Source organism: Homo sapiens, chromosome 9 (genome assembly GCF_000001405.40).
Source record: "Homo sapiens chromosome 9, GRCh38.p14 Primary Assembly".
Classification (NCBI taxonomy): Eukaryota; Metazoa; Chordata; class Mammalia; order Primates; family Hominidae; genus Homo; species Homo sapiens.
This window is the reverse complement of record NC_000009.12, coordinates 128025520-128038638: the sequence shown is the minus strand read 5'-3', so window position 1 is coordinate 128038638 and position 13119 is coordinate 128025520. Positions and strand designations below refer to the sequence as shown.

Here is a 13119-nt window from a genome sequence, read left to right as displayed (position 1 = left end):
GGCGCACACTACCACATCCAGCTAATTATATTTTTAGTATATACAGGGTTTCACCATGTTGGCCAGAGTGGTCTCCAATTCCTGGCCTCAAGTGATCTGCCTGCCTTGGCCTCCCAAAGTGCTGGGGTTACAGGCATGAGCCACGGTGCCCGGCCGTTTTTTCGTTTGTTTTGTTTTCAATTTTATGTTTTTAAAAATATAATTGAGATGGGGGTCTCACTCTGTTGCCCAGGCTTGTCTTGAACTCTTTTTTTTTTTTTTTGAGACAGAGTCTTGCTGTGCCGCTAGGCTGGAGTGCAGTGGCTCGATCTGGCTCACTGCAACCTCCGCCTCCCAGGTTCAAGCAATCCTCCTGCCTCAGCCTCCCATGTAGCTGAGACTACGGGCACGTGCTACCATGCCCAGCTAATTTTTTGTATTTTTAGTAGAGACAGGGTTTCACCATGTTGACCAGGATGGTCTTGATCTCCTGACCTCGTGATCCACCCGCCTCAGGCTCCCAAAGTACTGGGATTACAGGCGTGAGCCACAGTGCCTGGCGAACTCTTGGACTCAAGCAATCTTTCTCCCCAGCCTTCTGAAGTGTTAGAATTACAGGTGTAAGCCGCTGTGCCAGCCTTTTTTTTTTTTTTTTTTAAATGAGACACGGTCTCATTCTCTCTTTCAGGCTGGAGTACAGTGGCACGATCATAGCTCACTTCAGCCCTGAACTCCTGGGCTCAAGTGATCCTACCTCCTCAGCCTCCTGAGTAGCTGGGACTACAGGTGTGTGCCACCACACCTGGCTAATGTGTCATATTTCAATTTCAATTGGAAGGGTTTTTATTTTTCTTTTTTAGTGGCACAAAAATAAATGACATCCTTCAACATGGCATTCTTCAAAATGGCATCCTTCAATGGAAGGTGTGTTTGGTTTTTTAAATTTTTATTTTTTGAGACAGAGTTTCGCTTTTGTAGCCCAGGCTGGAGTGCAATGGTGGAATCTCGGCTCACTGCAACCTCCACCTCCTGGGTTCAAGCAATTATCCTGCCTCAGTGTCCAGAGTCACTGGGATTACAGGCATGTGCCACCACACCCGGCTAATTTTTGTACTTTTAGTAGAGATGGGGTTTCTCCATGTAGGTCAGGCTGGTCTCAAACTCCTGATCTCAGGTGATCCACCTGCTTCGGCCTCCCAAAGTGTTGAGAATACAGGCGTGAGCCACTGCACCTGGCCTGTGTTTGTTTTTTAAAAATATTTTTTGGCCGAGCATGGTGGCTCAAACCTGTAATCCCAGCACTTTGGGAGGCTGATGGGGAAGGATTGCTTGAGGTCAGGAGTTTGAGACCATCCTGGGCAACATAACAAGACTCTATCTCTACAAAAAATACAATAATTAGGCCGGGCATGGTGGCTCATGCCTGTAATCCCAGCACTTTGGGAGGCCGAGGCAGGTGGATCACGAGGTCAGGAGATCGAGACCAGCCTGGCCAAGATGGTGAAACCCATCTTTACTAAAAGTACCAAAATTAGCTGGGCGTGATGGTGGGCACCTGTAATCCCAGCTACTCAGGAGGCTGAGGCAGAGAATTGCTTGAACCCAGGAGACAGAGGTTGCAGTGTGCCAAGATCATGCCACTGCACTCCAGCCTGGGCAACAGAGCAAGACTCAATCTAAAAATAAAAATAAAAAATAAAAATAAAAAAATTAGTCAGGTGTGGTGGTGCATGCCTGTAGTCCCAGCTACTCAGGAGGCTGAGGTGGGAGGAGCCTTTGAGCCCAAGAGTCTGAGGCTGCAGTGAGCCAAGATTGTGCCACTGAACTCCAGACTGGGAGACAATGCAAGACCCTGTGTCTAAAAAGTTTTTTTATTTTTATTTTATGTTTTTTTTGAGACGGAGTTTTGCTCTTGTCACCCAGGCTGGAGTGCAATGGCGCAATCTTGGCTCACTGCAACCTTTGCCTCTTGGGTTCAAGCGATTCTCCTGCATCAGCCCCCAGAGTAGCTGGAATTATAGGCACCTGCCACCATGCCTGGCTAATTTTTGTATTTTTAGTAGAGACAGAGTTTCACCATGTTGGCCAGGCTGTTCTCAATCTCCTGAGCTCAGGTGATCCACCCATCTCAGCCTCCCAAAGTGCTGGGATTACAGGCGTGAGCCACTGTGCCCTGACGGTTTTTTGTTTTTTTTTTTTTTTGAGACAGAGTTTTGCTCTTGTTGCCCAGGCTGCAGTGCAATGGCATGATCTTGGCTCACGGCAACCTCTGCCTCCTGGGTTCAAGCCATTCTCCTGCCTCAGCCTCCCAAGTAGCTGGGATTGGCTGGGTGCGGTGGCTCACGCCTGTAATCCCAGCACTTTGGGAGGCTGAGCCGGGTGGATCATGAGATCAGGAGATCGAGACCATCCTGGCCAACACGGTGAAACCTCGTCTCTACTAAAAATATAAAAAATTAGTCGGGCGTGGTGGTGGTCGCCTGTAGTACCAGCTACTCAGGAGGCTGAGGCAGGAGAATGGCGTGAACCCAGGAGGTGGAGCTTGCAGTGAGCCGAGATGGCGCCATTGCACTCCAGCCTGGGCAACAGAGCAAGACCCCGTCTCAAAAAAAAAAAAGAAAGAGAAAGAAACCAAATAGCTGCCTGTCCCCCCTCCCCTGCCCCACCAGCACACACAGCTAATTTTATATTTTTAGTAGAGATGGGGTTTCACCAGGTTGGCCAGGCTGATCTTGAACTCCTGACCTTAAGTGATCTGCCTGCCTCAGCCTCCCAAAGTGCCGAGATTACAGGTGTGAACCACCGCGCCCAGCCTAAAAAGGTATTTTAAATTGATACATAATATTTTACATATTTATGGGGTATGTGTGATCTTTTGTTTTAAGTGTAGTGTATGTAATGACCAGGTCAGGGTATTTGGGGTATCCATCACCTTGAGTATTTATCATTTCTATGTGTTGGGAACAATTTATGTCCTCTCTTCTAGCTACTTTGAAATATACAATACATTGTTATCTGTAGTCACTCTACTCTGCTGTGAACAACAGAAGTTATACCTTTTATCTAACAACTACATTTGTATCCCTTATGAAAGGGTGTTATATTGATTCAATACTATAATGTAGTTCCTGCCTTAAGGGCCTGTGGTGCAGATCAGGGCAGAGGCTCATGCAGGGCACAGAGCTCTGGCCCGGGCATACCAGGTGCGATCCATGAATGGGCGTCTTCCCAGTCAGCAGTTTCTGGAATCTGGGGCTTGAAGCCATGTGGCATGTTGTTCTCAATATATCCTGTAGGTGGTGCTAGATAACCAAAGTCAGGTGCAGCCCTGGGCACAGACAGCCCTGAGTTTCAGGCTCTGGGTGGGGACTGGTGAGGCTGGAGGGAGATGGCTGGAAAGTTCTGGCCCTGTGCGGAGCAGGCTCTTCCTCCACCCCAGGGAGAGGACGTGGCTGGTTCTACCAGCCTGTCTAGCCCGGAGATGGCTCTGGTGCAGGGAGAAAGCTCAGGAACAGAAGGCAGGGGCCCATTCTGCCTGGGCAAGCTGTGCGATTCTGGCCCCCTCCCTTTCTTGGCCTTAATCTCCCTGCCACGCAGTGGGGTCATGGGAGCCTGCTCAGCCTGGGCCCTGACAGTCAAGGCTCTGAGGGGGCCAGACAGCCTAGACCTGCCCTGCCCAAGAGGCAGCTGGGAGCCCTGGGACAGCCCTCTCCCTATCAGACTGTGCCACCTCCTCTGAGATCATGACATTCCCTTATTCCCTAGATGGGGAAACTGAGGCCCAAAAGGATTAAGTGACTTTCCAAAGGCTATACAACTGAGGGGTTGGAGCCAGGAGTGAAAGCTGGAACTCCTAGCTCCTTCTGCCATGTCCTTGGGTCAGAAGCAGGTGCAAGGCAGGGTGGGAGAGAATTCTCCCCTGAAGAAAATGAGCTGAGAGAAATTCCTTGTTAAGATGAGGGGGCAATCATACATGCCTAATTTATCTTCCTACTAAAACCATGAAAAATATATTTATTTATTTATTTATTTATCACCCAGGCTGGAGTGCAGTGGCGCGATCTCAGCTCACCACAACTTCCCGGGTTCCAGCGATTCTCCTGCCTCAGCCTCCCAAGTAGCTGAGATTATAGGTACCTGCCACCATGCCTGGCTAATTTTTGTATTTTCAGTAGAGATGAGGTTTCACAGTGTTGGCTAGGCTGGTCTCAAACTCCTGACCTCAAGTAATCCTCCTGCCTCAGCCTCCCAAAGTGCTGGGATTACAGGCATGAGCCACCATGCCCAGCCAAGATTTTTTTATTTTTTATTTATTTATTTTTTTGAGAGAGTCTCACTCTGTCACCCAGGCTGGAGTCCAGTGGCGAAATCTCGGCTTACTGCAACCTCTGCCTCCCGGGTTCAAGCAATTCTCCTGCCTCAGCCTCCCAAGTAGCTGAGATTACAGGTGCCTGCCACAACGCCTGGCTAATTTTTTAAATTTTATTTTATTTTTATTTTTAGTAGGGACAGGGTTTCACCACGTTGGCCAGGCTGATTTCAAATGCCTGACCTCAAGAGATCCGCCCGCCTTGGCCTCCCAAAGTGCGAGGATTACAGGCGTGAGCCACCGTGCCCAGCTGTGGCCACGATTTTTTAAAGCCAGGCTAAGTGTGGTAGCGCATGCCTGTAATCCCAGCACTTTGGAAGGCGGAGGTGGGAGGATCACTTGAGCCCAGGAATTTGAGACCAGCTTAAGCAACAAAGCAAGACCCTCTCTACAAACAAGCAAACAAAAACTAGCCAGGTGTGGTGGCACCCCTGTAGTCCTAGTTACTCTGGAGGATAAGGCAGGAGAATTGCCCAGGAAGTCGAGGCTGTGGTGAGCTGTCATCATGCCACTGCACTCCACCCTGGGTGACAGAGTGAGACCTTGTCTTAGAATAGGTAAATAAATAAATAAATAAAATGGGTAAAATATTTGAACAGCTTCTTCACAAAAGAAGATATATGAATAGCCAATAAACACATAAAAAGATGTTCAATGGCTGGGCGTGGTGGCTCATGCCTGTAATCCCAGCACTTTAGGAGCAGGCGAATCACCTAAGGTCAGGAGTTTGAGATCAGCCTGGCCAACATGGTGAAACCTCGTCTCTACTAAAAATACAAAAATTAGGCAGGTGTGGTGGTGCAAACCTGTAATCCAGCTACTCGGGGGCTGAGGCAGGAGAATCGCTTGAATCTGGGAGGTGAAAGTTGCAGTGAGCCGAGATCATGCCACTGCACTCCAGCCTGGGTGACAGAGTGAGACTCTCTCCAAAAAAAAAAAGAAAAAGATGTTCAACATTATTAGTCATAAGGGAAGTACACATTAAGACCACAATGAGGCCAGACATGGTGTCTCACACCTGTAATCCCAGCACTGTTGGGAGGCTGAGGTGAGCAGATTATTTGAGCCCAGGAGTTGGAGACCAGCCTGAGTAACACTGTAAAACCCTGTCTCAGGCCGGGTGCAGTGGCTCACGCCTGTAATCCCAGCACTTTGGGAGGCTGAGGCAGGCAGATCACAAGGTCAGGAGTTTGAGACCAGCCTGGCCAGCATGGTGAAACCCTGTCTCTACTAAAAATAAAAAAATTAGCCAGACATGGTGGCGCATGCCTGTAGTCCCAGCTACTTGGGAGGCTGAGGCAGGAGAATCACTTGAACCCGGGAGGCAGAGGTTGCAGTGAGCCGAGGTTGCGCCACTGCACTCCAGCCTGGGCGACAGAGCGAGACTCCATCTCAAACAAAAAACAAAAAACACAAAAACAAAAACAAAAAAAAACCCTGTCTCTACCAAAAATACAAAAATTAGCCAGGCCTGGAGGTGTGCACCTGCAGTCCCAGCTACTCCTGAGGCTGAGGGGGGAGGGTCACCTGAGCCTAGGGAGGTCAAGGCTGCAGTGAGCCATGATTGTGCCACTGCACTCCAGCCTGGGCAACAGAGTGAGACTCTGTCTCAAAAATAAAAAATAAATAAATAGGCCGGGCATGGTGCCTCACGCCTGTAAACCTAGCACTTTGGGAGGCTGTGGTGGGAGAATCACCTGAGGTCAGGAGTTCAAAACCAGCCTGGCCAACATGGTGAAACCCCATCTCTACTAAAAATACAAAAATTAGCCAGGCATCGTGGCTCATGCCTGTAGTCCCAGAGACTCAGTAAGCTATGGCAGGAGAACCACGTGAACCCAGGAGGCAGAGGTTGCAGTGAGTCTAGATCATATCGCTGCACTCCAGCCTGGGCAACAAAGTGAGACTTGGTCTCAAAAAAAATTAATTAATTAAAAATAAATAAATAAATAAATAAAACCATGACTAGGCCAGGCACGGTGGCTCACGCCTGTAATCCTAGCACTTTGGGAGGCTGAGGGGAGGCAGATCATTTGAGGTCAGGAGTTCGAGACCAGCCTGGCCAACGTGGTAAAACCCCGTGTCTACTAAAATCACAAAAAAAATGTAGCCAGGTGTGGCTCACGCGTATAATCCCAGCTACTTGGGAGGCTGAGGCAGGATAATTGCTTAAGCCCGGGAGCAGAAGTTGCAGTGAGCCCAGATCATGCCACTGCACTCCAGCCTGGGCGACAGAGCGAGACTCCATCTCAAACAAACAAACAAAAAACCCTGCACCAAGCCATTCATGAGGGATCAGCCCCCATGATCCAAACACTTCCCATTAGGCCTCACTTCCAACACTGGAGATTAAATTTTAACATGAGACTTGGAGGTGACAGATATCCAGACCATAAAAACCACTTTAGAGAACAATTTTGCAGTTTTGTTTGTTTGTTTGTTTCAGACAGGGTCTCACTCTGTTGCCCAGGCTGGAGTACAGTGGCACAATCATGGCTTACTGCAGCCTCAACCTCCTGGGCTCAAGTGATCCTCCCACCTCACCCTCCTGAGTAGCTGGGGCTATAGGCAGTACACCACCACGCCTGGCTAATTTTTGTATTTTTTGTTGCAGAGACAGAGTCTTGCCACATTGCCCAGGTTAACCTCAAACTCCTGGGCTCAAGAGATTCACCTGCCTCGGCCTCCCAAAGTCCTGAGATTACAGGTGTGAGCCACTTGCAGTTCTTAAAAAGGTAAAGCCGTGGCTGGGCGTGGTGGCTCACACCTGTAATCCCAGCACTTTGGGAGGCTGAGTTGGGCAGATCACCTGAGGTCAGGAGTTTGAGACCAACATGGTGAAACCCCATCTCTATTAAAAATACAAAAATTAGCCGGGCATGGTGGCTCAGGCCTGTAGTCCTAGCTACTTGGGCTTGGGAGGCTGAGGCGGGAGAATCGCTTGAACCTGGGAGGCTGAGGTTGCAGTGAAGTGAGATCACGCCACTGCACTCCAGCCTGGGTAACAGAGTGCGACTCGGTCTCAAAAAAAAAAAAAAAAAAAAGGGTAAACCCACAAATCCATTTTTAGGCATTCACCCAAAACGAAAGACAACATATGCCTATCGGAGGCCTCAATCAGTAACGTTCATGGCAGCTTTACTCATAGTAGGCATAAACAACCTCAAAGCCCAGCCACAGGTGAGTGGCTCCCTCCCACACCACACCCCAGTGTGGTGTGTCCCTCCCACAATGGGTGCCATAATAGAACACTACTCAGTAATAAAAAGGAGTAAGCTATGGATACACACAACTAATAGATGAATCTCGAAATAATGATGCTGAGGGAAAAGGAATCAAAGTACATACTGCATGATTCCATTTATGCAAAATTTCAGAAAATGCAAACTCATCTATACCAACAAGTAGATCAGCAGTTGCCGGATGAGGTCGGTGGTCAGGGAGGGTGGGAAGGAAAGGATTACCAAGGGGCACGAGGAATTAATGATGTTGTGGAGACGTTCACCATCTTCACAGTGGTGCTGGATTCCCAGGTGGTCACATATGTCAAAACTTAAACTGTATATTTTATTTATTTATTTATTTATTGAGACGGAGGCTGCTCTGTCACCCAGGCTGGAGTGATCTCGGCTCACTGCAACCTCCGCCTCCTCGGTTCAAGCAATTCTCCTGCCTCAGCTGGGATTACAGGCACGCACAACCACGCCCAGCTAATTTTTTTATTTTTATTTTTATTTTTGTATTTTTAGTAGAGACAGGGTTTCTAGTAGAGACGGGGTTTCACCATGTTGGCCAGACTGGTCTCGAATTCCTGACCTCAGGTGATCTGCCTGCCCTGGCCTCTCAAAGTGCTGAGATTACAGGTGTGAGTCACCACACCTGGCCCAAACTGCACCTTTTTTTTTTTTGAGACGGAGTCTTGCTCTGTCACCCAGGTTGGAGTACAGTGGTGCAGTCTTGGCTCACTGCAACCTCCGCCTCCCAGGTTCAAGTGATTCTCCTGCCTCAGCCTCCCGAGCAGCTGGGATTACAGGCCTGCGCCACCACGTCTGGGTAATTTTTGTATTTTTAGTAGAGACGAGGTTTCCCCACGTTGGCCAGGCTGGTCTCAAACTCTTGACCTCAGGTGACCCACCCGCCTCGGCCTCCCAAAGTGCTAGAATTACAGGCTTGAGCCACCATGCCCGGCCCAAACTGTACATTTTAAATATGTGCAGCTTATTGATCATATGTCAATAAAGCTGTAATAAAAAGGAATTATTAATTTCAGAAAAAAATAGAGTAAGAAAGGAAATACATGCAATGCTTAGTTATGAAAAATGGTTACATAAAAAACTTGGCCCGGCGAGGTGGCTCACGAATGTAATCCCGCACTCCAGCCTGGCAACAGAGCGAGACTCCGGCTCCGAAACAAACAAACAAACAAAAAAACTTATGTGAATACTGAAGAGTGATACCTCAATTTTAAAAATCACTCTTCTTCATAAGGCTGGGCATGGTGTCTCATGCCTGTAATCCTAGCACTTCAGGAAGCTGAGGCCGGAGGTTTGCTTGAGCCCAGGAGTCTGATATCAGCCTGGACAACATGGTGAGACCCTGACTTCACAAATATATATATATATATATATATTTTAGGTTCTCCTGCCTCAGCCTCCCGAGTAGCTGGGATTACAGGCATGTGCCACCATGCCTGGCTAATTTTTGTATTTTTAGTAGAGACGGAGTTTCTCCATGTTGATCAGGCTGGTCTCAAACTCCTGACCTCAGGTGATCCGCCCGCCTTGGCCTGCCAAAGTGCCGGGATTACAAGCGTGAGCCACCACGCCTGGCCCAAAAATATATTTTTTAAAAAATTAGCTGGGCACAGGGGCACGAGCCTGTAGTCCCAGCTACTCAGGTGGCTGAGGCAGGACGATTGCTTGAGCCTGGAAGGTTGAGGCTGCAGTAAGCTGTCATCGCATCACTGCATTCCAGTCTGGGAAACAGAGCAAGACTTTGTCTCAAAAAGGAGAATAAAAGGGACTGGGTGCGGTGGCTCACATCTGTAATCCCAGCACTTTGGGAGGCCGAGGCGGGCAGATCACAAGTTCAGGAGTTCGAGACCAGCCTGGCCAAAATTGTGAAACTCCGTGTCTACTAAAAATACAAAAATTAGCTGGGTGCAGTGGTGCGCACCTTTAGTCCCAGCTACTCGGGAGGCTGAGGCAGGAGAATCGCTTGAACCTGGGAGGCAGAGGTTGCAGTGAGCTGAGATAGCACCACTGCACTCCAGCCTGGGTGACAGAGCGAGGCTCCATCTAAAAAAAGAAAAAAGGAGAAGAAAAAACAAATAAAATACATACGTAGAGAAATGGACAAATCTGAGATGTGACTAGTGATTTAACTCTAAAAGGCCACATGACTTCCACAGTGGACGACTCCTCTTTCGTCGTACTGGGTGGTTGGTAGATAGCGGAGGGTAGACAGGCGACAGGGCTAAAACAAATCTGCCCAAAGATAGCAGCATGTGCTTATTATTTAGAAATATAAAATGTGTAAGTGCTGGAAAGAAACTGCTCACAGAGCCAAAAGTGGTTGCTTCTAGGGAGGCGGCGTGGGGAGATTGGGGAGGCAGACAGGAAACCACTGCATGTTATCTGCCTTTAGGGTAAGTTTATTTTGCTTTCCCTGCACGTATGCTATTTCACCAATTCTTTTTTTTTTTTTTTTTTTTTTGAGACAGAGTCTCACTGTTGCCCAGGCTGGAGTGCAGTGGCGCGATCTCGGCTCACTGCAAGCTCCGTCTCCCAGGTTCACGCCATTCTCCTGCCTCAGCCTCCTGAGTAGCTGGGACTACAGGTGCCCGCCACCACGCCTGGCTAATTTTTTTGTATTTTTAGTAGAGACGGGGTTTCACCGTGTTAGCCAGGACGGTTTCGATCTCCTGACCTCGTGATCCGCCCGCCTTGGCCTCCCAAAGTGCTGGGATTACAGGCGTGAGCCACCGTGCCCGGCCAAACTACAAAACACCAATTCTAAGATGCCAAAGTATTCACATTTTAACATCTTTCTTTCTTTACTTATTTATTTATTTATTTATTTTTGAGATGGAGTCTCCCTCTGTTGCCCAGGCTGGAGTGCAACGTCTGCCTCCTGGGTTCAGGCGATTCTCCTGCCTCAGCTTCCCGAGTAGCTGGGATTACAGGTGCCTGCCACCATGCCCAGTTAAGTTTTGTATTTTTAGTAGAGACACGGTTTCGCCATGTTGGTCAGGCTGTTCTCAAACCCCTGACCTCAGGTGATCCACCCGCGTTAGCCTCCCAAAGTGCTGGGATCACAGGAGTGAGTCACCATGCCTGGCCCATTTTAACATCTTTAAAATCAAGATAAATCTTTCTATAATCAGTGGTGCACCTGACCACTATAATTGGCAGTGTTTTCTCTGGACAGCACATGAATCATGGTGCATCTTACTATTGGTGATGCCTCAGATTCACTGATGTATGGTATTATTTTGATAAAGTGGAAATTATTTTAAAGAAAAAAATGAGCTAATTGCAACAGCTGCTATGTATTGAGCTCCTACTGTAAGTGTTCTAAGCACTGTAAATGTTCCCATTTAGTATTCTATTATTTATTTGTTGACTTAATTTTTAAAAAATTTTTGCCGAGCTGAGGTCTTGCTATGTTGCCCTAGCTGGTCTTGAACTCCTGGCCTCAAGTGATCCACCCACCTCGGCCTCCTAAAGTTCTGGGATTGCAGATGTGAGCCACCATGCCTGGCCTTCATTTAGTATTCTGAATAACCTTGGATTGTTATTCAAAAGTTTGAGATGAGGAAATGGCTCAGAGATGTTGAGTAACTTCCTTTAAGCCACCCAGCGAGTAAGTGATAGACGATAGTCCAAAACAAGGGGCTGCCTGCCTCCTGAGTGCACAGCTCGGCTTCTGTTTTGACTAGTTTGAAAGAACTCCATGTACTCCCCTCAGTTCTAAACACCCAGAGAGAAATGGGTGTTTGCTCACAACCACAGAGACACTAAGGCTGAGTTAGGCCGAGACATGGGCCTTTAACACCCAATCCAGTGTCCTTTTCTTGAACCTGGGCTCTCCCTTTCTTCCTGTCATCCTGACACTCAGGACATTCCTGAGAGCTGTATTGTAGCTCCTAAATGCAAGTGACACTTACAGGGCCCAGGTCGAGCCCTGGGAGGAGGGAAGGGCAGGGTGGCCCTTGCCTGTCCTGCTCATGTGAACCTGGTAGGTACTCGGCAAACCCGTGTCATGTGAACACAGCTGTGTCTGGGTCAGCATCTGGGCCAGGCTGGCCTCAGGCTGGAGCAACCTCAGAAGCCTCCACAGGAAAAGCCTGGGGCCACCACAGTGGAGGGATATTGTGTGGGAGGCCAGGGCCTTTCCAGAAGCTGTACTGCCATAGCAACCTGCCTCCTCTTGATGGTGTGTTTGCTTGGTAGGGCTGGGCTCGGGCAGAGGACCGCGGATGGATGTGGCAGCAGGGACGGGGGTAAAGCTGGCCAGGCCGCTCCACAGGCTTTGCCTCTTTTGGCAAATAATTGCCCCTGCCTCCAACACTTGTTGGAGTGCTCAGTACCTTGTCACTATTTATTGAGCACTGTTCCACCAGGCCTAACAACCCGTGCTATTCAGAAGCCCAGAGAGGTCAAGCCACGAATCTGCAGTCACACAGCCAGGAGCCTGTTGACTCCAAAGCCTGGGTGCCAACCTCTTACCGACACTACCTGTCCCATGATGCTCACATGTGTCCCATGGTACCTGTCAATGTGAGGCACCAGCCCCTTAAAGGGGAACCCACATCCTGTTTCTGGTTCTGCCTCAAAGATATGAATTTGCGATAATGAGGCATCGCAAGTTAATCTCTCATGCGAGGCCGTGCCTCCTCTTTCCTTCCTCTCTCGTCTGCCCCAGACACAGGGGCCACAGCAGCTCCTGCCTGCACATGGCTACGGTGCTCAGCATGCATGGTGCCTGCGGTGTTCCACACCTAGTGTCTCCGAGCCTCAGTTTCTTCTGCTATCAAATGGGAGGAAGAGGCCCGGCACGGTAGCTCATGCCTGTAATCCCAGCACTTTGGGAGGCTGGGGAGGGAGGATTGCTTGAGCCAAGAAGTTCGAGACCAGCCTGGGCAACATGGCGAGACCCCCGTCTCTACAAAGCATACAAAAATTAGCTGGGTGTGTAGCCTGCAGTCCCAGCTACTTGGGAGGCTGAGGTGGGAGGATTGCTTGAGCCCTGGAGGTCGAGGCTGCAGTGAGCTGTGATCATGCCACCGCACTCCAGCTTGGGTGACAGAGTGAAACACTATCTTAACAACAACAACAACAACAACAAACAAATGGGAGGAAGAGTAAGGCTGTGGCTTCTGTGGGGACTGGCAAGCTGATGTGTGCTCTGTGCCTGGCCCAGTGCCTGGTGAGAACCTAGGAGAAGGCTCTGGAGGTCGGGGACTTGGCTGTGATTCCTGGTTCTGTCACTGATCAGCTGTGCAGCCTGAGACAAGTCTCTGCCCCTCTCTGAACCTCAGTTTCCTCCTCTGTGTGATGGGGTGGTGGCCCTGCCCCACCTTTCATTTACCGAAGAAGGTCCAGGTGTGAGGCTAGCATTACTACGGTTCATCTCCACTTCTCAGCTTCCTTGACCCTCTCCTCCCACTGAAAAAGCCTATCTAGACCAAGACGGCTCTGTTCCCGAGGGCACTATGAATCCTTGAAGGGCCCAGCAATCACGGAATCCAACCCCTTCCTCTGCCAAAT

At 49.1% G+C, this 13119-nt stretch overlaps 4 annotated features.

Moving 5' to 3' along the window:
• Nucleotides 3403–3502: an enhancer, noted in NCBI's record as "active region_29068". NCBI's record gives its function as "activates an Ori minimal core promoter by ATAC-STARR-seq in GM12878 lymphoblastoid cells {active_cell/tissue: GM12878}" and the evidence as "EXISTENCE:reporter gene assay evidence [ECO:0000049][PMID:35858748]".
• Nucleotides 7252–7351: a silencer, noted in NCBI's record as "silent region_20321". NCBI's record gives its function as "represses an Ori minimal core promoter by ATAC-STARR-seq in GM12878 lymphoblastoid cells {active_cell/tissue: GM12878}" and the evidence as "EXISTENCE:reporter gene assay evidence [ECO:0000049][PMID:35858748]".
• Nucleotides 7392–7441: a silencer, noted in NCBI's record as "silent region_20320". NCBI's record gives its function as "represses an Ori minimal core promoter by ATAC-STARR-seq in GM12878 lymphoblastoid cells {active_cell/tissue: GM12878}" and the evidence as "EXISTENCE:reporter gene assay evidence [ECO:0000049][PMID:35858748]".
• Nucleotides 9738–9907: an enhancer, noted in NCBI's record as "active region_29067". NCBI's record gives its function as "activates an Ori minimal core promoter by ATAC-STARR-seq in GM12878 lymphoblastoid cells {active_cell/tissue: GM12878}" and the evidence as "EXISTENCE:reporter gene assay evidence [ECO:0000049][PMID:35858748]".